At 51.5% G+C, this 26,566-nt stretch overlaps 1 protein-coding gene across 7 annotated transcripts in view, besides 4 other annotated features; it reads left to right on the top strand.

The window, feature by feature from the left end:
* Positions 1–25,735, top strand: part of IGDCC4 (immunoglobulin superfamily DCC subclass member 4) — a 41,464-nt gene extending 15,729 nt beyond the window's left edge. For 2 of the 7 annotated variants that reach the window (NM_020962.3, XM_011521845.4), the window contains exons 4-20: positions 4,732–4,868; positions 6,273–6,413; positions 10,230–10,385; positions 11,056–11,469; positions 11,961–12,125; positions 12,671–12,808; positions 13,688–13,858; positions 14,849–15,085; positions 15,238–15,339; positions 16,881–17,064; positions 17,808–17,935; positions 18,241–18,411; positions 18,633–18,770; positions 20,563–20,668; positions 21,160–21,388; positions 22,104–22,265; positions 22,800–25,735. In NM_020962.3, the coding sequence (NP_066013.1) occupies positions 4,732–4,868; positions 6,273–6,413; positions 10,230–10,385; positions 11,056–11,469; positions 11,961–12,125; positions 12,671–12,808; positions 13,688–13,858; positions 14,849–15,085; positions 15,238–15,339; positions 16,881–17,064; positions 17,808–17,935; positions 18,241–18,411; positions 18,633–18,770; positions 20,563–20,668; positions 21,160–21,388; positions 22,104–22,265; positions 22,800–23,210 (3,190 nt within the window). In that variant the 3' untranslated portion in view covers positions 23,211–25,735. Of the gene's footprint in view, positions 1–4,731; positions 4,869–6,272; positions 6,414–10,061; positions 10,386–11,055; positions 11,470–11,960; positions 12,126–12,670; positions 12,809–13,687; positions 13,859–14,164; positions 14,271–14,848; positions 15,086–15,237; positions 15,340–16,880; positions 17,065–17,804; positions 17,936–18,240; positions 18,412–18,632; positions 18,771–20,562; positions 20,669–21,159; positions 21,389–22,103; positions 22,266–22,799 lie in introns of those variants that run through there. The other 5 variants (XM_011521846.4, XM_017022448.3, XM_047432908.1 and 2 more) reach the window with 3 other exon arrangements.
* Positions 21,716–21,835: an enhancer, noted in NCBI's record as "active region_9598". NCBI's record gives its function as "activates an Ori minimal core promoter by ATAC-STARR-seq in GM12878 lymphoblastoid cells {active_cell/tissue: GM12878}" and the evidence as "EXISTENCE:reporter gene assay evidence [ECO:0000049][PMID:35858748]".
* Positions 21,840–22,451: an enhancer, noted in NCBI's record as "H3K4me1 hESC enhancer chr15:65677106-65677717 (GRCh37/hg19 assembly coordinates)". NCBI's record gives its function as "activates a minimal SCP1, AML or CMV promoter by ChIP-STARR-seq in naive and primed H9 embryonic stem cells {active_cell/tissue: H9 hESC(naive and primed)}" and the evidence as "EXISTENCE:reporter gene assay evidence [ECO:0000049][PMID:30033119]".
* Positions 21,856–21,905: an enhancer, noted in NCBI's record as "active region_9597". NCBI's record gives its function as "activates an Ori minimal core promoter by ATAC-STARR-seq in GM12878 lymphoblastoid cells {active_cell/tissue: GM12878}" and the evidence as "EXISTENCE:reporter gene assay evidence [ECO:0000049][PMID:35858748]".
* Positions 21,916–21,965: an enhancer, noted in NCBI's record as "active region_9596". NCBI's record gives its function as "activates an Ori minimal core promoter by ATAC-STARR-seq in GM12878 lymphoblastoid cells {active_cell/tissue: GM12878}" and the evidence as "EXISTENCE:reporter gene assay evidence [ECO:0000049][PMID:35858748]".
* Positions 25,736–26,566: the final 831 nt, after the last annotated feature.

Below are 26,566 nucleotides of genomic sequence, written 5' to 3'. Positions count from 1 at the left end.
GGTCTGTACATATGGATATGGTAGGTATTTTTATCTGGATTGTTAAATGAGGGATTGGAGGATCAGAGGCAGAAATAACTTGCCCCAGGTCACACAGCTTAGTACTCAGAGTGTCAGACTCCAGCGACCTGCGTGGAGGATACACAGGCCTCTGGTAGGTGTCATTTGGTGGCTGGGTGCGGAACCTGTGAGGTCTGAAGAAGTTTGTATCACATTACAACTTTAATTTTTTAAAAAATTAATGGTGGATTTAGAAATCTGTAGTCCAACTGTGGCTGGGAGCAGAGAAGTTACTTCCCCAAAGCTTCTCAGCACACCAGTGGGTTTCAGACCTCCCCACCACCCCCAACGTCTAGCTCAGGCGTCATCCCGTGAAGCCACAAACCTAACCCAGGAGGCCAGAGCTGCCAGTTTTTGGACTCTGGGAGTGTTTGCCCCCAAGTCCTCTGAAAAGTGATCCTCATCTATAAATAAGCTAGGCTCGCATGTCCCGGCACATTGTGTGGGGGGAATAAAGAAATGTCTAAAACAGCAACTTGATTATGCCCAAGGTATGTATTTTTACACATGCCCAGATATAGTGCATGCACAAATATGCTATTCATAAACTCAGCCCAGTGGTTTGAAGGAGACCGTATGCCTTGGTGTAACGTGGCACATGTGCAGTTAATAAACACACTGCGTCAGGGTGTATGTGCTTCGTTTGGAACTGATGGTAAAGACTAGACCCCAAGGCAAATCCCCGGTACTCATACTATTTTCTAATAATAGGGGATAATCTAGGGGATAATTTTTCTTTCATGGGAACTAGTAATCAATGAGAGCAATGTTTCCCAAATCCCAGGTATTCAAAAACCACCTTCATAATTGTGACCATACTTATACCATTTACACAACCACTTCATAATTTTCTTTACATCAACTCGCTCTTTCGTAACTTGAACACATTTTAAAAGGGAACATTATCTCACTGCAATAAAATGGAAAACCAGCAACACTTGCCATAAATAGAAGATAGCCATAAAAATAAATAATGTAACTTCTAGGATAAAAAGCCATGTATCTGGATCCACTTGAAATCATTTTGTTATCGCCATTCACTCACATTTTAAGAAACATGGAACTAAGGGACTTAAATAACATGGGCTCCGGCCCTACCCTCTCCCAGTGGTTACCATTTCTGTCAATCTCATGTGACTTCCAGCCAGTATCCCCTTGCCCTGGGTGGATCTCAAGGGCTTAGGGTGGGGGCTCCTTGGCCCTTGGGAAATTCAGAGCAGCTGCGTCATTTCTTCTGTGTTCTTTAATCCTCGGGGCCCAAGTGGCCTTTTGTGGGTAGGAGCAGCAGACTCAGGTTTGAGGCTGGAAAAAGAATCATCCCTTCCTTTCGAGTTGAGATTGTTTTTCATTTTATAAGTAGCTTTTATTTTATTTGAAATTTGAATTTCTCTTAAAATGGTAGAGTATACCAACTTTACAGAAAGGGGAAAAAAGTCACCTACTGACTGAACACAGCTTTTACCAATTTGAGCGTCTCCTTGCAGTCTTTTGAAATACGTATATGGGTTACACCATTGTAAACATGTGTTCAGAGCTTGCAATTCATAAATATGTTTATGTCCGTTATCTAATGTGAGCTCAAAACACAATAAGAGGGTCAGGGTTGTGAAGAAGGCAGGACAGGAATTATTTAACCCATTTTTCAAATGAGAAAACTGTGGCCCAGATACAGAATGTCACTTGCTAAAATCACATACATTGAAACCAGTTCTCTCCAGCATGTCACAGTGCTTCTGTGTTAGAGCCCAAGTTACAAACCAAAGTGTACAAGGGCACAGATTATTAGCAATTTACATTTAAAAATTTTTATATTTCCTAACTGATACATATTAATTGCAAAAAAAAAAAACCCACTTAACAGGCACAATAAATAAGAATCCCCCGTAATCTCACTCCTACAGAAAACCCCCATAAACCACACGAGCTTTGCCACCTGTGGCTTTTTCTATGTATATCCTAATATAACTTTTCTCTATTTTCTAAAAGTAGAATTTCTTCATAAACACTGTTTTTTTACTCCCCCCCCCCCACTAACTAATATATTTTGAACACTTTTCCAAGGACAGAGCTTCTAAAAACACATTTTAGCAAAGCAAAAGATTTTTTTGAGTCAGGGACTCACTCTGCCACCCAGGTTGGAGTGCGGTGGCACAATCACTGCTCACTGCAGCCTCTACCTCCCGGTCTCAAGCAATCTCCCCACTTCAGCCTCCTGAATAGCTGGAACTACAGATGTGCACCACCATGCCTTGGCTAATTTTTGTATTTTTTGTAGAGACTGGGTTTTGCCATGTTGCCCAGGCTGGTCTCCAACTCCTGGCCTCAAGCAATCCTCCTGCCTCTGCCTCCCAAAAAGCCCGGCCAGAAAAGATTTTAGATGAACCCTAAAAGTGGTTCCATCTTGCCTCTATTGGCTGCAGCAATAGCACCATATCTGGGGAAAGGAATTCATTCATTCATTAATTTGTTCATTCATTCATTCATTCACTCAATCACATCATTAAGGGAATGTTATTTTTTCAAAGGAGAGACTACCTCTTGAGTACTTGGAGCACAATATTCCCTGGAAAGACCTAGAAACACTGGGGTTAGGAAATGTAGGCAGTTCCCAGCAGCATAGTCAGCTCGCTAGTTCGAGGGAGGAAAAGAGGAGAAAGAAAGGTCTTGGAGGAAGAGCACGTTAGATGGATGGGGGTGGGGCCTGTTTTCTAGGTGGGTCCTACTTGTCCTTCCCCAATTCGTCCTTTCCTGTCAGTTCTTCTCTGGCAGCAGACTGGGTCCTGGCCCAGGATTTTGCTCCAGCCACACTTGTCTCCCTGTCCCTTTCTCTCGCTCTGCCCCAGCACTTATGTAGGCAGCTGTTGGAGCTGAGGGTGAGAGGCTGGGGGCAGAGGTGGGTTTGCCTGTGTGATGCAGGAAAGAGCAGGGCATATTTATGCTTTTTTTCTCTAAGTCCTTTAAGTCTTTGGGCCACAGCAGGTTTGTAGGGCCCCTGTTTAGAACATTCTTCCTCCCCAGCCTTTGAACTACTTCTCCTGTTCCATGTTTAGATTTTTTTAGACCCCACTTCCCCAGGAGCTAAGGGATCTCCACCAAGCGCACAACTGCCCCCTTCCCTCTCTGACCTTGGCCCAGCCTACATCCCAGAGGCCAGCACCATTTGCTCTGTTGAGAAACTAGGATTCTCAACCTGGAGCTGACCCTGTAGGGATCCCAGTTGGAGGATTCCGAGGGACCCATTCACCCCCTCCTTAGGTCGGAGCCCACTCTGGTCTCCACCACCCCAACCCCCATGGAGACCTCCCTATCCCAGATTACATCGTTTCTCAAGTAAGGTCTCTGGACCTTTCTATTTCTTTAGCCCAGAGGGCAGGGAACACCCTCATCCATCATGCCCCTTCTAAGTAACATACGTGTTGGCTGGGTCTGCTTGGAGACCACGTCCTCTCCAAGGGCATTCTCAGCCATCCAATGGCTGCCGAGACAGGCAGGTAGGACAAATATGACATTTGGCACCAGAAGACTTGGGTTCGAGTTTTCACTCTGCTCCACCTGTGAGATCCTGGGAAAATACCCTCCTATTTTTCACCAGTAAAATGGAGGTTGTGACCTCCTCTATGTCTTGGGCTTGTTTTAAGGGTCACATGAGATAGTGTGAATAAAGAGTATTTTATTAAGGGAGGGAGAAGGTAGTATGGGCAAGGGGTAAATAAAATTCCAACTGTATACAAGGATATATAATAAAAAGTCAGTCCCTCCCACCCTCAGTCCCCTGGATCCCAGGTCCCCTCCCCAGAGACAACCACTGTTACCAGGAACATTGAATGTATACGCAAGCACAGAAGCCTACATGTCCCCAAACATATTGTTTTGTACCAGAACACATTTGGAGATGGCCCTCTATCAGCACACACAGAGCTGCCTCCTTTTTAGCAGCTGCCTAACATTCCATTGTGCGAATGTACCCAAACAAATTTAGCCAGTTCCCACCCTGCAGATGAACACTTGGGTTGTTTCCAGCCTTTTGCTATCACAGACAGTGCTGGAGTGAATATCGTTTAACACATGCTCTTGTGCACACATCTGAGAGTATCTGTGGGATAGAGCCCTAGAAGTTTTGATGTTGAGATATCACCAACTTGCCCTGGACAGATGGTGTATGGGCAGGGCCACCATCGAGGCAGGAGTGCCTTCCTCCATTCCCTCATCCACACGGAGTGTTATTAAGCCTTCTGATTTTCACCAATCTAATAGGTGAAAATGGTGTCTTAGAGTTTTTGTTTGTTTGTTTGAGATGGAGTTTTGCTGTTGTCGCCCAGGCTGGAGTGCAATGGTGCAATCTTGGCTCACCGCAACCTCCGCCTCCCGGGTTCAAGCGATTCTCCTGCCTCAGCCTCCGGAGTAGCTGGGATTACAGGCATGCACCACTACGCCCGGCTAATTTTGTATTTTTAGTAGAGACGGGGTTTCTCCATGTTGGTCAGGCTGGTCTCGAACTCCCGACCTCATGTGATTCGCCCGCCTCGCCTCCCAAAGTGCTGGGATTATAGGCGTGAGCCACTGCGCCCAGCCTGGTATCTTAGAGTTTTAATTTGCATTTATCTTACCATGAGCCACCCTCCCTGTGGCCCCCCTGCCCACCTCACAGTTGCCTGCTCCCCTCTTCCCAAGGCTCATCGTGCTTCCCAACGGCGTCCTTCAGATCCTGGATGTTCAGGAGAGTGATGCAGGCCCCTACCGCTGCGTGGCCACCAACTCAGCTCGCCAGCACTTCAGCCAGGAGGCCCTACTCAGTGTGGCCCACAGAGGTAAGGGGGCTGGCTGGGTGGGGAAACCTGGGGGTTTCTGGAACCAGCCACCTCAGAGCTGGGAGGGACCTCAAGGGGTCCAGGCCTTGCCTTCAAGTAGGTGATAAATGTTAGTCCCATTGACTGGTGAGGCGATGAAGCCCAGAGAGGGTACTGCCACCCAGCAAACCAGAGAAGAAAGAACTGGGCTGGAACACAAGACCCCAGACTCCAAGGGCAGGGCTCCTCTCTTCATGCAGAGCCTGTGTGCCCTCTGGTTGGATGCAGTGTCGAAGGCTGGGGACAGAGGTGGGGATGCGAGGCATCTGAGGCGGTGTCAGTGCCCGGAAGCCCTGCTCCCTGCCCCTTTCTCTCCTGCCCTTCTATAGTCACTGAGGGGTCCAGGCACTGGGGGTTCGTCCCTCTCTGCTTTCTGTGCCTTGCAAATCTGGCTACCTGTGGCCTAGTGCTCTTATCCTTTACTCGTTTCTTTGAAAAGCTCTTGCCCCAGTGTGATGGATTAGGAAGGGCACAGTCTTTGGGGTTGGAAAGACCTGGTTTGAATCCTGCCTTCTCTGCTCACCATCTGCATGACCCTGGGCTCCTTATCAAATGCCCAGCTCAGAGAGGCTCGAAGAGTCCTTGAGATAAGAATGGAAAGTGCCTGGCACCTGGCAGGTGCTCAACAGATCTCACTTCAAGCCTCCCCCAGGGGCACCTCCCTTGCTTCCCTTTGCCATGCATCCCTCCCACCTCCCACCCACTCTCTGCACTCCCACCCCGTCCCCATCCTGTTCCTTCTGGGCTTAGCTGGTAGGCTGCTCCCAGTCTGGTGTCGTCTTTCTTCTGTTCAAGGGGTATCTGCCTCCACCTGCTGGACAATCCAGATATTCACCACTCCACCCAGGGGGCCAGGGTCACACAAAGAACTTGGCAGGAAATCAGGGTTTAGGGAACTGCCGCACAGGCAGAAACTCAAGCCCACTGTCTGCCTTTTCCACTGGGAAATCCAAGGCCTTTTGGAGAAGGGATTTGCCAAAGGTCACCCAGTGCGTTAATGGCAGTGCTGGAACTAGAAACTATAACTGTTGACTCCAAGTCTGGTGCTTTGCCCATGACCCTGACAGTCCTCTGCCTAGATGGTGGGTTGCATTTGGGAGGGAAGAATGGAGGTAGGTGTGGGTCTGTCTAATCATTTCTCTGGTGCTGAGTTGAAGCCTAGGCAATTCTTCTGGCTCTAAAAGAAACAGCTCAGAGGTCCAGTCCCAGCCCTGCTGAATTTTATGGCTACGTCCCCCATCTGACAGATGGAATCATTGCTGCTGTCCCCGGTACCACCTCACCAGGTTACTGTGAGACTCAGGTGAGGTATCGCATGGCAAATGCCTAATGGTAAGGCTGCCTGCTGGTCTGTCTTCTCGCCAGGGTCCCTGGCGTCCACCAGGGGGCAGGACGTGGTCATTGTGGCAGCCCCAGAGAACACCACAGTGGTGTCTGGCCAGAGTGTGGTGATGGAATGTGTGGCCTCAGCTGACCCCACCCCTTTTGTGTCCTGGGTCCGACAAGGTGAGTGGAGGGGGTGGGAGAAGGAGGGCATGGGAAGGGAGGGATGTGGCATCTCACATGCCCCTAAGTCAGGGGGATGTATGGGTGACGACCCAGTGGTCACGAACCTTCTGGTGTGGCACGAACTCCTTTCCCAGGGCTGGGTGTGGTGGTCAAGGTCGGAGCTGCGTGGGGAACTGGACAGACTTCCTTGTCACTCTGTGTAGCATGTGCTTTACAAAAGCACTTCCAAGCTGCCACTTACAGAACGGTTATTGCAGCCCTCCTGAGGCCAGGTGCTGAGCTAGGTTCTCCACCATAATTACATATTTCTGTTCCTCACAACGGTGTTACAAGTGAGTACTTGAGAGCTGGGAAGGTGCCACACAGCCAGTGAGTTAGGTGGAACCAGACCCCTCTGTTGGTCCGTGCAACTATAAGGCAAGCTCTGGGTCCACCCCAGCATACTGCTGTCTTTGTGTGACTGGTATCATACTGGGCACAGTGAACAAAACACAGAGAGGCAGGGACCCTGCCCTCTGAACTCATCGTCTAGTGAGGGAGAGAAAACACACATCTATGAAGAGAGGTCTGACAGTATCAGGCTACAAGTGAGAAGTGCCACTGAGTGACTGGAGATGCCATCAGGGTAACGCCAGTGCTGGGCCAAATTTCACTGTGCAGTCTCCTAAGCACTTTCACACCTGTTCTCCTGTCAGCCTCCAAGAGCCCTCTGGGGAGAGGAGGGGCCAGAACTATTATTCCCAGTGGGCAGATGAAGAAACTGAGGCTCAGAGAGGCAGTGGAAGAGCTGGGACCCAAGCTTTCAAGTCTGTTCTCTTTTTGGTATGCCAGTTCCTACAGTCCTGTAAAAAGAAAGCAAGGGTTATTTTTATTTCCATTTGTTGTTAAAAAGTGACTTGTCCCAAGTTGATGGCAGAAGTAAGTTTTAAATCCAGTTCTTTTTACCCCTTTCCCCAACTCATTCTATTACTCTATACATCTTTAAAAATATAAGTTTATATCTCATACTCAAAAGTGTATATCACGAATATATATAGTTTAAAGAAAATAAATTGAACAACTATTAATATGTACCCACCAATGAGCTGATAAAATAGAACAGTGCTGGCATTTTCGCACCTATCTGACCTGCACTGCCTCATTGGACCTGTGACACTTGCCTACTTAGGGGGCCAGCAGGACCCTTGTACTACTGGGATAAACTTGTGGTATCACCTAGAAGTTCTAATGTCAATATTTCTTAATTCCTGATTATGCATCAGGGTTACCCAGGGGACTTATTAAAACTGCAGACTCCTTTCTTCACCCCGGAGAGTCGTGTTCCAGGAATCTTTTTTTTTTTTTTTTTTTTTTTTGCCTGTCACCCAGGCTGGAGTGCAATGGTGTAATCACAGCTTACTGCAGCCTCCAACTTTTGCCGGCTCAGGTGATCTCCTACCTCAGCCTTCTGAGTAGCTGGGACTACAGGCATGTGCCGCTATGCCTGTATTTTTTTGTAGAGACAGGGTTTCTAGATGTTGCGCAGGCAGGTCTCAAACTCCTGGGCTTAAACAACCCACCCATTTTGGCCTCCCAAGGTGCTGGGATTACAGCCATGAGTCACTGCGCCCGGTGCTCCAACTGAAAGTGTGCTCTTCAGCTCTACTACCTATGACTAGTTAGAAATGCAGAATCTGGGGCCCTGCCTCAGTCCTCTACATCTTAACAAGGTCCCCTGCTAATCTGTGATTCGTGTGCACAGTACGGATTTGAGAATTGCTGTCCCGGAGGATCCTGACACCTAGGAAGAGAAGGGCTGGAAAGGAGCTTCATTCCTGACCCCAAGTACTGCTTTCTTTCCAGGAACTTACTCCACTAAGTCAGGGAAGGGGCATGGGTTGTTTGTTTTTGATTTTGTTTTGTTTTGTTTTTTTGAGACAGAGTCTCGCTCTGTCGCCCGGGCTGGAGTGCAGTGGCGCGATCTCTGCTCACTGCAACTTCCGCCTCCCGGTTCAAGCGATTCTCCTGCCTCAGCTTCCCAAGTAGCTGGGACTACAGGCACCCGCCACCACGCCTGGCTAATGGTTTGTATTTTTAGTAGAGACTGGGTTTCACCGTGTCAGCCAGGATGGTCTCCATCTCCTGACCTCGTGATCCAACCTCGTGATCCGCCCACCTTGGCCTCCCAAAGTGCTGGGATTACAGACAGGAGCCACCGCTCCCGGCCTGTTTTGTTTTCTTTCTCTCTCTCTCTTTTCTTTTCTTTCTTTTTTTTTTTTTTTTTTTTTTTGAGATGGAGTTTTGCTCTGTTTCCCAGGCTGGAGTGCAGTGGTGTGATCTTGGCTTACTGCAACCTTCGCCTCCTGGGTTCAAGTGATTCTCCTGTCTCAGCTTCCCGAGTAGCTGGGATTACAGGCATGCACCACCACACTCGGCTAATTTTTGTGTTTTTAGTAGAGATGGGGTTTTGCCATGTTAGCCAGTCTGGTTTCGAACTCCTGACCTCAAGTGATCCACCCGCCTTGGCCTCCCAAAGTGCTGGGATTACAGGTGTGAGCCACTGTGTCCGGCTGTTTTGTTTTCTGACTGCAAATGTTGTACATGTTCACCGTAGAAAACTAGGAAAAAAATAGATGCAGAAAACACTCAAACACTCCACTACTCAGAGATAAAAATTGTTTATGTACCAGTATATCTTCTTTCAGGTTTTTCTATGCCTATGTACAGTTTTCTCCCTGAAATTGAGAACATGTGCCGCATTTATAGTTCCAAGTCCTATTTTCATTCAACAGTATACCATAAGCATTTCTCTATCTTTAAAACTTTTTCAAAAAATTGTAATGACTAATATTCCATACTTTAAATATAGCTATAATGTAATTCACCAGTTCCTGCTGTTGGATTTTTAAGTCCTTTCCAGTTATCCGCTGTTACAGTTAACACTGCAGTGATCTGCTCTGTTCACAAATACTTGCCTGTACTTCTGATCATCTTCCTAGGACAGGTACACATAAATGGAATCCTTGGCTTCAAGGCCTAGGTGAAGCTCCTTTATGGCCCTTTCTCCAGCATTGCAATTTACTATTTTTAAAAATGTTCTCAAGTTGATGGGTGAAAATTAACATCTGTGTTTTAATATCTTTTTTTTTTTTTTTTTATAGAGACGGAGTCTCACTATGTTGCCCAGGCTGGTCTTGAACTCCTGGTCTCAAGTGATCCTTCCACCTCAGCCTCCCAAAGTGCCAAGAGCACAGGCATGAGCCACCGTGCCCAGCCTAACATCTGTTTTGAAGTGCCTTTCTTTGATGACATGAAGTTGAACATTTTTGTGTTTCTTGGCTATTTGCATTGCTTCTCTAGATTTTCTGTTCATGTCTACAAGGCAAGGGCTTTTTAAATGGTTTTCATTTCACATTGAGGTAAAACTTTGTGCGCATTCGAATCGTTGGCTTGGTCCGACCTTACCAGCCCTAGCTTCATCATAGTACTGGGCTGGGACCCCAGGGAAGGAGCATGTCCTTCTTGAGAGAAATGAATTCAGTAATGAAAACTGACGAGTGTGCTGAGCACCTATGATTAATATATGCCTGCACTGTGCCAGGGGTTCTGACATTCTTTCAATCCTCATGGAAACCCTGCCAGTTAAGGGCTAATTCCCCCTTACAGATGGAGACAGCCGGGCTCAGAGAGTCCCAGCAAGAGGAGGAAATGAGATTCGGACCAGGGACGGTTGTGTTTGCTTTATCCGGGTGCAGAGTGTTCCTGAGGTTCGGAGACTGAAGGGAAGGGCAGTCCCTAGCGTCCCCTCCAGCGCGTCTCCCTCTCCTTCCCCAGACGGGAAGCCCATCTCCACAGATGTCATCGTCCTGGGCCGCACCAACCTACTAATTGCCAACGCGCAGCCCTGGCACTCCGGCGTCTATGTCTGCCGCGCCAACAAGCCCCGCACGCGCGACTTCGCCACTGCAGCCGCTGAGCTCCGTGTGCTGGGTGAGGCGGGCCGAAGGGCGGAGGGAGCGGGTTAGCTGGGGCTGGGGTGAATAGAGCAGGGGGAGGTGGACGGGTGGGTGTGCTGGGGGCACTCAGGCGCTCTCCTGGAGGACGAACTCAGGGAGGAGTCCCTAGTAAGGCGGAGGTGGGACGAGGGATGGGGACTTGGTAACTGGAGGACGGAGTGCGGGGCGTTGAGTCTGGGATGGAGCGAGAGGGGTGATTAAGGCCTGGAGCGGGTGATTAGCGGGGAGTTGTGACTGGGGTTATTGTGGGGATAGTGGAGTGATCTGAGTGGTACTAAGAAAACTGGGGGGCAGGGTAGATCTGGTAGGTGTGGGACATATGGGAGGGCAGGGAGGAAGGAGATGGGTAAATTTAGGGGTGGGGTTAGATCCGGGAGGAGCAATATTTAGGGGAGGCTGAGGAGGCCTGGGGACAGTTTTGGGAGAGAAAGAGAATGGTCGTTGTGGGGCTGGGGTAAATGGGGAGAAGAAAGGGTAGGTCTGCGCTGAGCCGGAGTAGTTTGGAAAGGGTGAATCAGGGAGAGGTTAAAGTGATTGGAAGGGGAGCGAGGGAGGGCGGTGGGGGGCAGGCTTGGGGTACTGGGGGGGGGGCAGAGACCTTAGTTGCGGGATCCCGCGCTCAGCGTCGCCCCTCGCGCCCCTAGCGGCTCCCGCCATCACTCAGGCGCCCGAGGCGCTGTCGCGGACGCGGGCGAGCACAGCGCGCTTCGTGTGCCGCGCGTCGGGGGAGCCGCGGCCAGCGCTGCGCTGGCTGCACAACGGGGCGCCGCTGCGGCCCAACGGGCGCGTCAAGGTCCAGGGCGGCGGTGGCAGCCTGGTCATCACACAGATCGGCCTGCAGGACGCCGGCTACTACCAGTGCGTGGCTGAGAACAGCGCGGGAATGGCGTGCGCTGCCGCGTCGCTGGCCGTGGTGGTGCGCGAGGGGCTGCCCAGCGCCCCCACGCGGGTCACTGCTACGCCACTGAGCAGCTCCGCTGTGTTGGTGGCCTGGGAGCGGCCCGAGATGCACAGCGAGCAGATCATCGGCTTCTCTCTCCACTACCAGAAGGCACGGGGTACGTCGGCCTGGGGCGGGATGCACCAGCGCAGGCCCGGGCGGGGCGCAGCCAGAAGGGGTTCAGGTCGGATGACTGAAGGGTTGCCTGATGGGTACCTCTGCGGCAAGGATGGACTGGGGTAGGAGCCCATAGGAGAGACCCGCATAAGTATGGTAGGTATGGATTAGGCAACTGGCGCTGGAAGGGCCACTGCTTCCCTCAGTCATGTTTGTTGAGAGAGGAGGGAGAGGACGTTCCTGGAGCCACCTCCCATCCCAGTTAACTAACTGGAGAGGGGGGTCATTTCCAGAAAGCACTCCCTAACCAGTGGAGGAATTAATACACTGAGACAGGAAGCTGAGGGAGTTTATACACTCCAGCTCAGATTATCTGGGATGATTTAGCTATAAATAGACACCAGGACAATATGAAGGATTCCTATACAGACTCCAGCTAGCCAGCACGGGGGGGTGGCACTATGACAGTCCCCTTGTCCCCCGTGTCACCAGGCATGGACAATGTGGAATACCAGTTTGCAGTGAACAACGACACCACAGAACTACAGGTTCGGGACCTGGAACCCAACACAGATTATGAGTTCTACGTGGTGGCCTACTCCCAGCTGGGAGCCAGCCGCACCTCCACCCCAGCACTGGTGCACACACTGGATGATGGTAGGGCCTCTGAACTCGCAGTGGGCAGCTTGGGGTAAAGAGAATTCCCTGGGGAGGGGAGCTCACCCTCTCTTTACTAATGTAAAGGCATTTTTACCTGCTCATATCATCTTTTGTGCCCCGTAAGAGAGTGGGCGGGGTTCTTCTCCTCAGTTCACAGTTGGGGAAACTGAGGCCCAGAAAATGAGAATGATTTGCCCAGGTCAGTAGTTCAGCTGGGACTTAAGCCCAGGTCTGTGATGATTCCCTGTGTCATGCAGTTCTCCCTGACACCTATGTGCCATCCAGCTGGGGTAGGGGCCAGTGACATTAACCCATTAGACGTGGAAGATTGTGCTCCAAGACTTTTTCCAGCTTCAGGGTGGGAAAGATGTCCCCTCATCCTTCAGCTTGGGGCTCCCCTGAGAAGCTCCCTTTCCTCCCTCAGATCCTGGTCCTGGCCTACTTCTGACTTGCTGTGTGACCCAGGCAAGTCTCTGACCGCTCCCGAGCCTCACCTTCCACGTCGGTGGAGCAGAGCTCATGCTGATGTTCTTCTGTCTCAGTCCCCAGTGCAGCACCCCAGCTCTCCCTGTCCAGCCCCAACCCTTCGGACATCAGGGTGGCGTGGCTGCCCCTGCCCCCCAGCCTGAGCAATGGGCAGGTGGTGAAGTACAAGATAGAATACGGTTTGGGAAAGGAAGGTGAGTGGGGGTGGGTGGGCTGCAGGCATGTATGGGAATGATCAACGTGAAGAGCTGTCAGGGCTGCTGGAGACCTGAGCAGGGTACGGGAGTCGGAGGAAAGGAAGCAGAGTAGGGGTTGGGGAAGGGTGAACCTGAAAAACAGGGGTCTGGGCAGGAATGAAAAGGGAAGACAGAGGGGCCTAGCTTAAGGCAGAGGGAGGCCTGGGCTCTCACCCCAACCCCTCTACAGCTGCAGTGTGTACTTCTACTGAGTCCCTGCCTCAGTTTCCTTATCTGGGAAATGGGGGGCTGAGGTGGGAGGATCACTTGACCCCAGGAATTCAAGGCTGCAGGGAACTGTGATCGTGCCATTGTACTCCCATCTGGGTAACAGAGCAAAACTCTGTCTCAGAAAAAAATAAAAGGATAAAAAGTTAGGAGGAGGAAGGTAGCTGAGGGACCAGGGGAAGGGTGAGGAAGGAGGGAAAGGTGAGGAAGGAGGGAAGGGTGAGGAAGTGGCCATGGTGGCCCTCAGGGCTCTGGAAGCCAGGCGTTCTTGCTGGCCTTCATGGTCAGCCTCTTGTGTCTGCATCCCGTGTGTGTGTGTGTTGGCAGGGGATGGTCATTGACAGCTCCTGGGGAAGTGGGGAAAGCCTGCCATCATTCTCCCTGCAGCTGAGCCCAGGCTGATGGCCTGCATCAGCCAGAGTTGGAGGCTCAAGCGTCAACCCTGGAGCCATAGAATCTGCCCAGGCACTGAGGGGTCAGTGCTGAGAACGCCTCAGGCTCCCACGGGCACGGAGGAACCGGGATGTGAGGCGGAAGAGCCATGTAGGGGGGTTTAGGATCCTGTTCCTCAGGTGGCTACCCAGCAGCCCACCTTTTCTGTCCCTGCAGATCAGATTTTCTCTACTGAGGTGCGAGGAAATGAGACACAGCTTATGCTGAACTCGCTTCAGCCAAACAAGGTGTATCGAGTACGGATTTCGGCTGGTACAGCAGCCGGCTTCGGGGCCCCCTCCCAGTGGATGCATCACAGGACGCCCAGTATGCACAACCAGAGCCATGGTACGGGGTTAGAGGAGAGACAGGACAGTGTGTGTGTGACTGTGTGGGTGTGCGTGTGTCCTTGGGACCCAGCGCCCCACCCCCTGGCCCCGCCCTCCATCAGAGACCTTCCATGGCTCCCTCCGCTTGATGGGTGAGTGAGGCTTAGGTGCAGAGGTGAAGGGCTGGGATCTGGTGTCCCTTCGATTTGCTGTGTGACCTTGGACAAACCATTCTGAGGCTTCATTTACTGCCCAGGAATGGCATGAGGTTGAATAATGTATTGTAACTAAAGTGCTTAGTACATAAAAACTCATTGAATTGTAGCTGCTTCGAGGATGATGGTGATGATGATTGTTTTTGTTGAGAGGCCCAATAGAAGAGTGATTAAATGCTGACCAAACCGGTCTACATGCTCTCTATGCGACACTAGGTAAATTACTTAACTCTCTGAGCTTCAGTTTTCTTATCTGTAAAGCGAAGGTTGTAGTATTTTCACTATTTTAGAGGGTTGCAAGGATAAAGTTATAATAACTACACAAAGTGCATAGGACAGTGTTTGACACATTGTAAGCTCCTCACTCTCAAGTGGGTCTCCCTACTGTAATGGTGGCATCCCTCCTTCCTGGCCTCAGCAACCACCACCCCCACTGCCCCCAGTGTTTGATCCTTCAGAAGACTTCACAGAGGCCGATTCTGTGCCAGGTGCTATCAGCCTACTCCAGAGGTGCTCCTTGCTGACCCCTTTGCAAATGCCCAGCGGACACCCCTGCATTCCCTGCACTCTGTGCTTGTAGAACAGTGAGTTCACCTCTAGACCAAGCCCAGGACTGGCACTTAGAGTGGTGGCTGAGTGGTGATGTGTTGGGAGAATGCTGGCAAAAGGCTCTCACTGAATGCCATCTTCCTGTCTCTTCCTCATGCCTCTTCCCTGTCTCCTATCCCTGGCCTCCTTCTCCTCATTCTGCATTCTGTTCCTTAATTTTCCCATCCTGCTCCTCTGCCCCCCAGTCCCTTTTGCCCCTGCAGAGTTGAAGGTGCAGGCAAAGATGGAGTCCCTGGTCGTGTCATGGCAGCCACCCCCTCACCCCACCCAGATCTCTGGCTACAAACTATATTGGCGGGAGGTGGGGGCTGAGGAGGAGGCCAATGGCGATCGCCTGCCAGGGGGCCGTGGAGACCAGGCTTGGGATGTGGGGCCTGTCCGGCTCAAGAAGAAAGTGAAGCAGTATGAGCTGACCCAGCTAGGTGAGGAGGGCTGGGGGGAGGGGGAGGGAGGGATGTAGCTTCAGTGGGGACTGGGCAAGTTGTGTGAAGAAGTTAGAGATGGGATGCTCTCTGTGGACGGGAGAGTGACCCCAGATGTCCCCCTAGCCATTAAGCCCTGTAACCTTCCCCAGTCCCTGGCCGGCTGTACGAGGTGAAGCTCGTGGCTTTCAACAAACATGAGGATGGCTATGCAGCAGTGTGGAAGGGCAAGACGGAGAAGGCGCCGGCACCAGGTGAGGGCGGTGGGGGAAGAAGGCGGGGAGGGCTCAGGTGAGGGCTCTGCTAGCCGCTTCCTCTTCTTTTCCTTTGGGCCAGCCTGGTGAGCAGGTACTTTAGTAGCCTCAGCTCATGCCCAAACCCATTCTCCTAGGATCAGGGGTCCTCTTTTAGCTCCAGAGAGCCTCTGTCATGGAGAGAAGCTTGTTTGTTCACTGTCTTAGGCCTGCCACCTTATTTGCATTACCCATGAATAGTGCTGATTTCCAAAGTTTGAACAGAGGGAAACCCTATGGTTGATCAGTAACTCCCGACCCCAAGTTTGACTGTAAAACAAGTTTTTTTAAAAACACATTTGTCTACATCACACTATCAGACTATCTCTCAAGTCTAAGAAGAGTGAGTATCCCTGTGTGACCTAACGGGAAACTGAGGCTCAGAGAGGAAAAGGAACTTGTCCAAGGTCACACAGAGCCTAGGCTACAACTGGGACTCCTGGTTTCCAGGCAAAACTCTTTCCACTGCACTACACTGCCTTGTGGCCCTGCATTGGACACCTCAGTTGCCCATCATGATACTCCCTCACCCCTAACTTCCCAGCCACATGGTTTAGCAGAGGGAGTAATCAACCAGAAGCCATGAAGCTTGGGTTCTTTTTTTTTCTTTTGAGACAGAGTCTCACTCTGTTGCCCAGGCTGGAGTGCAATGGTATGATCTCAGCTCACTGCAACCTCTGCCTCCTGGGTTCAAGCAATTCTTGTGCCTCGGCCTCTTGAGCAGCTGGGATTACAGGTGTGCACCATACCTGGCTAATTTTTGTATTTTTAGTAGAGACGGGGTTTCACCATGTTGGCCAGGCTGGCCTTGAACTCCCGACCTCAGGTGATCCACCCATCTTGGCCTCCCAACGTGCTGGGATTACAGGTGTGAGCCACCACACCCAGCTGAGTTCTAATTCCAGTTTGTTCATTTCTTCATTCAGCAAATATTTCGCTGAGTGTCTACTAAGTGCCAGCTGCTTTGGGAATTTAGTGGTGGACAACACAAATAAGGTTCTTGCTCTCTTGGGGTTTATTTTATGTTTCTAAAATAAACACTTATAAATATAGTGTTTATTATATTTCAATTTCCTATCTATTTTTAAAATATTAAATAATTTAATCCTCATAACAACCCCATGAGGTAGGTACTATCATTAGAATAGTGAATGGAGACACAGAGAAGGTAAGTAATTTCTCCAAGGTCACACAGCTAGTAAGTGTCAGAGCTGGAATTTGAACCAAGGCAGCCTGGTTCCAGAGTCTGGTTCCATGGTTATTCATTGCTGTGATTTGCTGCCTCTCTCTTTATTACGTTCTTACAGACTAGTGTTCCACAGTCAAAAATCAAATTCTTGGAAGCCTCAATTGCCTTATCTGTGAAGTAGGAATGATGCCACTCAACTCACAGGATCAAAGGAGTGGGTCAAAGAAACAGCCTTGGGAACTGTAAACCACTATACATATTTAAGGATGAGTATCCTCCCTCCCTTCCTCACACTCTAGTTTTCACCTTTCAGACATGCCTATCCAGAGGGGACCACCCCTGCCTCCAGCCCACGTCCATGCGGAATCAAACAGCTCCACATCCATCTGGCTTCGGTGGAAAAAGCCAGATTTCACCACAGTCAAGATTGTCAACTACACTGTGCGCTTCAGCCCCTGGGGGCTCAGGAATGCCTCCCTGGTCACCTATTACACCAGGTGGGGACTAATGCCTTTACTAATGTAAAGAAGGGAGGAAGAATAGGTGGGGGGTGGTGGTGGGAAGGCAGCAGGTGGTGATCAGGGAAGGGCCCCTGGGATTCAGGAACATGTCATGGCTCACCTGTTACGCTGAGGCCACACAGAGGGGCTGCACAGGGTCCACGTCCTTGCCTGCTGACCAGATGGTAGCAAGGAGGCCATCCAATCCCGTCCCCTCACAACAGAGCCTTGTTCTCAAACTCCGGAGAATGTGACACAGGACAGACCTGTTTCTCCAACCTCAGAGGGCTCCCAGTCTGATGGTGAAGAGAACCCCACCCCTGTCCTCAGAGCTGCTCCCTCTACCCTGTTAGATGGGGAGACAGAGCCTGAGGAGCCTGAGGTTTGGCGGAGGAAAGTCGCATAAAAAGCAACCGATATATACAACTGCCATGAAGGCAAAATTAAGCCAAAGAAAAGATGCATCGGAGATGATTCCATAGGTGGAGAATAACTTGGATTAATCCAGGAAGGTTTCCTGGAGGAAGGGGTCTGGTTTCGAGATTGGACTTGGAGCAGCATACATCCAGACTTCTCTGTAGGTCCCTGGGTGGTGGTAGTCGCCTCCAGGCCAGGGAGCAGCTTCCCTTCCCAGGGTAGAGCCTGGGGCTGGGGCTGACTGCAGGGGAGTAGATTTGGAGGAGTCTGCCCTGCTGGGAGAGTGTGCCTGAGAGCACTAGTCACGTTTCTTGCCTTAGCAGTTCTGGAGAAGACATCCTCATTGGCGGCTTGAAGCCATTCACCAAATACGAGTTTGCAGTGCAGTCTCACGGCGTGGACATGGATGGGCCTTTCGGCTCTGTGGTGGAGCGCTCCACCCTGCCTGACCGTGAGTGGCTCCCAGCCCCTTGCCACCAACCCATCTTTTGCCCAACTCCTTCTTGCCCCAGCAGCAAGAAACATACTTCAGAACCCCAAGGTTTGGGCAGAGCTGGGGGCAGAAGAGTTTCTGGGAGGGGAGGAATGTTAAGTCCCTCCAACCACACATACTGTTTTCTAGAATTCCCCAACTAGAAACCAGACCTCATCTTTGCTTTGTGGCTTGTTCCATGAAGGAGGAAGAAGGGAGGTCATATCATCATGCTCTGTCCCCCAGCTCTGACATCTCTCCCCATCTCCTCTCCCGCACCCCAGGGCCCTCCACACCCCCATCCGACCTGCGACTGAGCCCCCTGACACCGTCCACGGTTCGGCTGCACTGGTGCCCCCCCACAGAGCCCAACGGGGAGATCGTGGAGTATCTGATCCTGTACAGCAGCAACCACACGCAGCCTGAGCACCAGTGGACCTTGCTCACCACGCAGGGTGAGGGCTCCTGCCCCAGGGCATCTGCTCAAGAGCTTCCCAGCCTCTCCCGCTTCCAGCAGTGAGAACAGTGCTGGGGTTTGTTCCAGGGGCTACTGGGAGAAGCAAGCAGAAGCTGCTGCCTAAGTGGAGAGCAGACTCTCCCAGTCCCCTCCCTGCCCACCTCTGCATCCACCCACCCCATCCACCATCCCTGCTCTCCCTGCCTCCCTCACCCCCAGGAAACATCTTCAGTGCTGAGGTCCATGGCCTGGAGAGCGACACTCGGTACTTCTTCAAGATGGGGGCGCGCACAGAGGTGGGACCTGGGCCTTTCTCCCGCCTGCAGGATGTGATCACGCTCCAGGAGAAGCTGTCAGGTATGAGCACAGGGCAGCCCAGGTTTCCCTGGATTGACTTCCAAGCCCCTGCCTGTGGACACAACTACAATTTCATTGTTTTGCACAGCTGTCCTCCAGGTTTGGTGGGGGCAGAGCAAATGTGAAGGGGAAATAGGTGTGGTTCAGTGATAACTTGATTCAGAGGCCAGGTTCGTGGGGGACTGGCTTTTTTTTTTTTTTTCTGAGATGGAGTTTCACTCTTGTTGCCCAGGCTAGAGTGCAATGGCGCAATCTCGGCTCACTGCAACCTCCGCCTCCCAGGTTCAAGCGATTCTGCTGCCTCAGCCTCCCAAATAGCTGGGATTACAGGCACACACCACCATGCCCGGCTAATTTTTGTATTTTTAGTAGAGACAGGATTTCACCATGTTGGCCAGGCTGGTCTCAAACTCCTGACCTCGTGATCTGCCTACCTTGGCCCCCTAAAGTGCTGGGATTACAGGCGTGAGCCACCATGCCCAGCCAATTATTGTATTTTTTAGTAAAGACGGGTTTTCACCACATTGGCCAGGCTGGTCTCAAACTCCTTACCTCAGGTGATCCACCCACCTCGTCCTCCCAAAGTGCTGGGATTACAGGTGTGAGCCACTGCATCCAGCTGGGACTGGCTTTAGAGACCAGTTTCTTTGGGAAATTGCTTTGATTGGAGGATTAACTTGGTGAGGTGATGAGCTTTATGGTGTGGAGGTGGACAGCAGGACTGGCTACGTAATTTCCAGGGCCCAGTGCAGAATGAAAAGGTGCTATCCCTTATTTTAAAAATTAGAGGTCGGACGGCCAGGCGCGGTGGCTTATGCCTGTAATCCCAGCACTTTGGGAGGCCAAGGTGCGGGCGGATCATGATGTCAGGAGATCGAGACCATCCTGGCTAACACGGTGAAACTCTGTCTCTACTAAAAATACAAAAAAAAATTAGCTGGGCGTGGTGGTGGATGCCTGTAGTCCCAACTACTCAGGAGGCTGAGGCAGGAGAATGGCGTGAACCCGGGAGGAGGAGCTTGCAGTGAGCCGAGATCATGCCACTGCACTCCAGCCTGGGCAACAGAGCGAGACTCCGTCTCAAAAACAAAAACAAAAACAAAAAAAGCTAGAGGTCGGGCATGGTGGCTTGTGCTTGTAATCCAAAGTGCTTATGCACTTTGGAAGGCTGAGGTGAGAGGATCACTTGAGGCCAGGAGTTGGAGACCAGCCTGGACAACATGGTGAGACCCTGTCTCCACAAAAAATTTAAAAATTATCTGGGTGTGGTAGCTCATGCCTGTGGTCACAGCTGCTTGGGAGGCTGAGGTGGGAGGATCACTTGAGCCCAGGAGGTTGATGCTACAGCGAGCCGTGTTCATGCCACTGCACTCCGGCCTGGGTGACAGAGCAAGACCCTGTCTCAAAAGAAAAAAAATTAGAATTTTAAGGTGGTGACAGCAGAGCATGAACTCAAGCGTGGGGTCCATCCAAGCATGGGGTCTGCGCACCTGCACATGTTGCACACCCATGCAACAGCCCTGGGAGCAGGCAACACGTGCTTCACCAAAGGCCAGTTTGAGGCAGAGAGACCATAACTTCTGGGTGTGTTTTAGGGAGGACAGTCAGAGGGAGAGGTAGTAGTAGTTTCTGTGAGGCTCAGGGCCCTCCTGTCCTTGTATCAGAAGATTGTGAGCATCTGAAGGGTGAGGGTCCAGCTGGTGTCTCCTGAGAAAGCCATGGATAGTCCTGATCTATGCCCTGTGCCCTTCCTCTGTCCTGACCTGCTCTGTGCCTCTCTCTCCCCCACCAGACTCGCTGGACATGCACTCAGTCACGGGCATCATCGTGGGTGTCTGCCTGGGCCTCCTCTGCCTCCTGGCCTGCATGTGTGCTGGCCTGCGCCGCAGCCCCCACAGGTGAGCAGGGGAGCCAGTCTGACTTCAGGGAAGGGAGACTTCCAGGAAGGGCTGCAGAATGGGCCATCAGGGAAAGTGGCCATGACTTGCCCTTGGCACTCCCAGGAGCCCCGTTAAAGTCAGGACTCTGGGATGAAGGAATCAGGGATGATGTCCTCCTGAGAATGGGGAGTGGACTTAGGGGAGCCCCAGCCTACCCTCCTCAGCAAGGCCAACAGAACTGCCTCACTCCCACTTCCTCTGTAGCTGCCAGCATCTTGGAAAGAGGGGCCCCAAATCTCCAGATGCCTGCAGCCAAGGGAAGAAGAGCCCTGTTTACAGCATCAGGCTGTTTTGAACAATAGCAGTTTTTCTTACTCATTGCACAGACCAGGAAAGCAAATCCCAGAGATGGGCAGGAACCTCCCCAGAGACATAGGCTGGACCAGATCCCAGCCCCGCCTGACCCCTTACTCTGACCGCTATGCCTTGTTTTCCGTCTTCCCTTCCAGGGAATCCCTCCCAGGCCTGTCCTCCACCGCCACCCCCGGGAATCCCGCGCTGTACTCCAGAGCTCGGCTTGGCCCCCCCAGCCCCCCAGCTGCCCATGAATTGGAGTCCCTTGTGCACCCCCATCCCCAGGACTGGTCCCCGCCACCCTCAGACGTGGAGGACAGGGCTGAAGTGCACAGCCTTATGGGTGGCGGTGTTTCTGAAGGCCGGAGTCACTCCAAAAGAAAGGTAAGTCAGAGCCCCACATTGCGGCTCTTTTCTAAATAGGACACCAGGGGGCGACAGAGCACAACGCGTGGCTATGCGAGCATGGCTCTACCTCCTCTTCGGAGCCGGCTGCGGACGCTAGGGCCTCTCTCCCTCCTCCACGGAATGGTTGGCTGTCAGGGAAGCACATGGGCCTCCATATCCCGGCGGAATAGGTCAGCTTGGTTCTCACGAAGGAAAGGGCCTCCCAGCAGGTGACCCAGGGTAGCCAGAACACCCAGCTCCCTCCTCATCCCTGGAGCTGGGGAGACCTCTGAGACCCAGACATCCCCGTGTGGGGAGAAGAGGCCAGTCGGCTTGGCTGTGGCCAAGTGGGACTGGGACCAGGATAAGGTGAGGCCTTCGCTGGGCTGGTCCCTTTCATGCTGGCAGGGGCGGCACATCCCACCCAACTCCGACCCGTCCTCCCTCACCCTCTCCCCGCCTGGCTCGGACACCGCGGGCTTTGCAGAGCGTCTGGTGTTCCGCTCCTCTGCAGGAGGACTCATCCTCAGATTACCCCGCTGACTCTGAGCCCTTTCGATGCTCCTCCCCAGAGCCTTGGAGAGGGAGAGAGCAGCGGGTGACAGTCTGGACCCTGCTCCCCCGCGGCCCATCCCAATTCCCTCCCCCGGGCTTCCCTCTCCCAGCCAATCCTGGTCGTGCCCCTTACTGTCCCCTTCTTTCCCCCGTGCAGATCTCCTGGGCTCAACCAAGCGGGCTGAGCTGGGCTGGTTCCTGGGCAGGCTGTGAGCTGCCCCAGGCAGGCCCCCGGCCGGCTCTGACCCGGGCCCTGCTGCCCCCTGCTGGAACTGGGCAGACGCTGTTGCTGCAGGCTCTGGTGTACGACGCCATAAAGGTCAGCGTCCTGGAAGGAAGGGGCAGGAAAGGAGGAAAGGGTCTCTGTGCTTGTGAAGAGGAAGTAATGAGTTCTCTGGAGACCCCTGGGTGGTAACTTTCCTGGGGATAGAAGTCTAGCCAGGAGACCCCTGGAGCCTCCAAAGGTTGAGTAGGTGGAGGGCAGGCCAGTTTGCAGGAACCTGTTTCAACCTGGGTTGAAAACAGCCCCTCCTCTACCCAGACCTAAGTGGGCCACAGCAGTTCCGTGGATCTGAGGGTGTGGCTGGCCTGAGTACGCTCAGCCCTTCCTCCTGTCCCCAGAGGCCCTGACTGAGTCTGGTACTCCTGAAACTCCTGGATGAGGGCAAATGGGAAGTATTCCATCATTCCCTGCCTTTGTATAGGTTCGAACAGTTCCTGTGTATCCTTCACCGACTCCCATGTGATACTTACTCTGATGGAGGGTCAGACTTTCTGCCCCACGTACGCTGGTCATTCTGATGATTACTCTCAGTAATGGTCACTTTGTCTTTGTGTTCTCTGCTCTGATCAGGGCAATGGGAGGAAGAAGTCACCCCCAGCCTGCAGGAACCAGGTGGAGGCTGAAGTCATTGTCCACTCTGACTTTAGTGCATCTAACGGGAACCCTGACCTCCATCTCCAAGACCTGGAGCCTGAGGACCCCCTGCCTCCAGAGGCTCCTGATCTCATCTCGGGTGTTGGGGATCCAGGGCAGGGGGCAGCCTGGCTGGACAGGGAGTTGGGAGGGTGTGAGCTGGCAGCCCCCGGGCCAGACAGACTTACCTGCTTGCCAGAGGCAGCCAGTGCTTCCTGCTCCTACCCGGACCTCCAGCCAGGCGAGGTGCTAGAGGAGACCCCTGGAGATAGCTGCCAGCTCAAATCCCCCTGCCCTCTAGGAGCCAGCCCAGGCCTGCCCAGATCCCCGGTCTCCTCCTCTGCCTAGCTCTTCCCAGAGGATGTGGTTTGGGGCAGGCAGGTATGGATCACATAGGATGCGATACCTGTGGCCGTGTATGTCCACATGTGTGCCTGTAGATACATCATCAAGCCCTTTGGAGCTTCCTAAGTTGCTTTGGCTGAGGGGAGAGGAAAACATGGATTATTCACTCCCCCCATACTCTTTGTGATACACATGTGACATGTGAAAGACATACGAGACATAGCTACATGTGATGTGCACATGTGTGAAGTGCATGTATGCGTACTGGTTGTTGAGCTGGGAAACCGTGGCCCAGGCAGTGGTCACTACAGCCTGATTGGTCCTCCAGGTCAGAACGGTGCCCCACAGTGGTCAGTCCCCAGCCCTGTGGGCCCCCACCTCCATCGCCCAGCCTTTTATTACACACTCTGAGAGTGTCTCCAATGCCTGTCTGACAAAGACAGTCCCAGCCCATTCTCCTGTCTGGCTGGGTTGGGTGCAAGCAGGCTCTGAATGCCTGGCATTTCAGCTGCATCACCTCCCAGCTCCTTATTGCCCAAATAGAGAGGGTGGCCCTGGCTCCCCTCCGAGCAACTCTGCATTTAATTTTGTAATCTGGGAAGTGCCTGGTTTTGAAAATCCGCTTTCTCTCACTCTTCCCCTCCTTCCTTGCCCCTGGCTGCTCTAGTGTTCTGTCTCCCAGTCACCTCGCTCTCCCAGCACCAGTGCCCTTCTCCTGCTCCCAGATACTCTTTCCTTTCCTCTCTCCTGTTTTCCTTCCTCTGCTATCTCTCACACCTCTCCCAGACTATGTCATCTTGTTCTCCTGCCTGGGTTCAAACTCTGCATCCTTCTCTAACAACGTGACTACCTCATGTCTGCTTCAAGGCCCCCGTGCCCTTCCTGTATCCGCGGCTGCCGCGCACTCGCCTGCCATCCTCCTGCCTCCTCTTCACTCAGTGCTTCTGCTTGCCCTGCCCCAGGCAGCCCACCCACGCCCAGTGCGGGTGTGGAGAAGATCTTCTGGCTTCCCTGCATCTTGCCTTTGGGATTGGGATCCAAGGGTTCTCCATGGATGGATCCAAGTCATAGAGGGGAATGTTTGAGACAGGGAAGGGGGCTGTGATCCAGAGGCTCAGAATAAAAAGATGCCCTCCCTTCTATGCAGGGGGGCAAGTTTACTGGATGGAGATGATTTGGGCCTCTCTTCCAGAAGAAGCTAAAGGAAGAGAAGGGGAGTGAGAGTTCAGGGAGGCCCTTCCCACCCTGTGAGGCTTGACTTGATCTGGATTGGGGATGACAGGAATCTCACCCTCTGGGGTGCTGGCAAGGAGGTCTTTGCACAGGAAAAGGGGTAGCTCATTTCAGTTTGTTTTTTCTTTAAATTGAATCCTCAAGTCATTTTCTGTTCACCTGCCGCACAGGGACAAGCTTGACTTCTATTTTCTGTGTAGTGAAAACAATGTCATTTATTTGGTTTTTCACCTCAGCCCTCTCATAGGAGCATAGAATGTTAGGGTCTTTACTCCCTAATGATGTCTGATTGGCACATCAAGAGTTAACTCTGCCTTCTGGGCCAAATTCGAAATAACCAGTCCATTTTTCCTTTTTTTTTTTTTTTTTTTTAAATGGTGGAATGTCTCTCAGCACAGTTGCGGCTTCCTCAAACCCTGAAAGCATCTGTGTTTATTATACTCGGGTGTCACTCACTGTTGATGTCTGCACCTACGTTTCCACCTCCTCCCCCTCCTTCAGCCAGCCTATGATAACACTAAAGATTATTAATGTTGGTTTTGTATCTCGTTAAAGACAGAATTGTCACTTGTAGTATTTCTGTAGCATTCAGCGCTGCTGTGGCTAACACCACTGTGTATGTTTCATCATTGCTCTGAAGGTCAAAAGCCTCATTTTATTTTGCTGGTTTGATTTTTTTTTTTTAAAGAAGAAAAAAAAACTGCCCTGAATTAAATGGCTGTTTTAACAGTAGGCTCTTAGCATTATACCACATAGTCATTTTTCATGTTCTTGTTTAACAGGCACTGAGGTTCTGGTTTAAATTAAATAGCTGCAAATGAGACAATTTATAACCCATTAGGTTGGGTGGAAAATTGTTTCTCAAAAGCAAATAAGTAATAAATCTGGTATCTGCCTATAACTCACAGTTGATAAGAAAGTGGCCATTTCTCACTAGCACTATATATGATTTGGGCTCTGGGTAATTTGGAAGTGTTAGGTTTGTGTCTTTGTAGCAGTATTTTTATTAGAAAAGAATCTATTGGCCTTTTACAGGGTATTAATCCCTTTGTCACCTACCATTGATGCCTTAAGTTTTCTGAGTCTCAATTAAAAATCTTCCTTTTCTTGATGCATGACAAGTGTAATCAGTACTTGCTCATTTATTTGTCTGTATTTAGTTTATGCTGTACTATTTAATTATCCTTCCAGCGTTTTTTTTTTCTCCTTACAAATATGATACTCTTTAGTGTTAAGCTAAGGCATTGATTCATGTATCTGTCCTTATAATGAATTAATAAACTATTTTCCAGAAATGTGGAATTCTCTTTTGGAACCATTGACCATGACTAGAATTTCCTCAGCCTTTGTGCCCTAGGGATTTTATTTCTTACTGTGATGGGAAATGATGTTGTTGTTGTTTTTGAGATGGGATCTCTCTGTCGCCCAGGCTGGAGTGCAGTGGCACAATCACAGCTCACTGCAGACTCAACTTCCTGGGTTCAAGCAGTCTTGTCACTGTAGCCTCCCTAGTAGCTGGGACTACAGGCACATGCCACCATGCCTGGCTAATATTAAAAAAAATTTTTGTTATAGAGATGTGGTCTCGTTATCTTACCCAGACTGGTCTCGAACTCCTGGGCTAAAACCATCCTCCTGCCCCAGCTTCGAAAAGTGCTCGATTACAAGCATGAGCCACTGCCTCTTGGCCCAAAATAGTGTTTTGTTTGTTTGTTTGTTTGTTTGTTTGTTTTTTCAGACTAATCTCACTTTGTCGCCTAGGCTGGAGTGCAGTGGCATGATCTCGGCTCACTGCAACCTCTGCCTCCCGGGTTCAAGTGATTCTCCTGCCTCAGCCCCCCGAATAGCTGGGATTACAGGCATGCACCACCACACCCGGCTAATTTTTGTATTTTTAGTAGAGACGGGGTTTCACCATGTTAGCCAGGCTGGTCTCAAACTCCTGACCTCAGGTAATCTGCCCGCCTTGGCCTCCCAAAGTGCTGGAATTACAGGCATAAGCCCCTGCGCCCGGCTCAAAATGGTGGTTTTTGAGGGTAAAAAGCAGGTGGTCATGGGAAAGAACTAAACCATCTTCCTCCCTCAACAGGCACTTAGGAAAAAGACGTAAACTTAGGAAAGATGTG

Source organism: Homo sapiens, chromosome 15, assembly GCF_000001405.40.
Source record: "Homo sapiens chromosome 15, GRCh38.p14 Primary Assembly".
NCBI lineage: Eukaryota > Metazoa > Chordata > Mammalia > Primates > Hominidae > Homo > Homo sapiens.
This window is presented reverse-complemented; position numbering and strand designations above follow the sequence as displayed.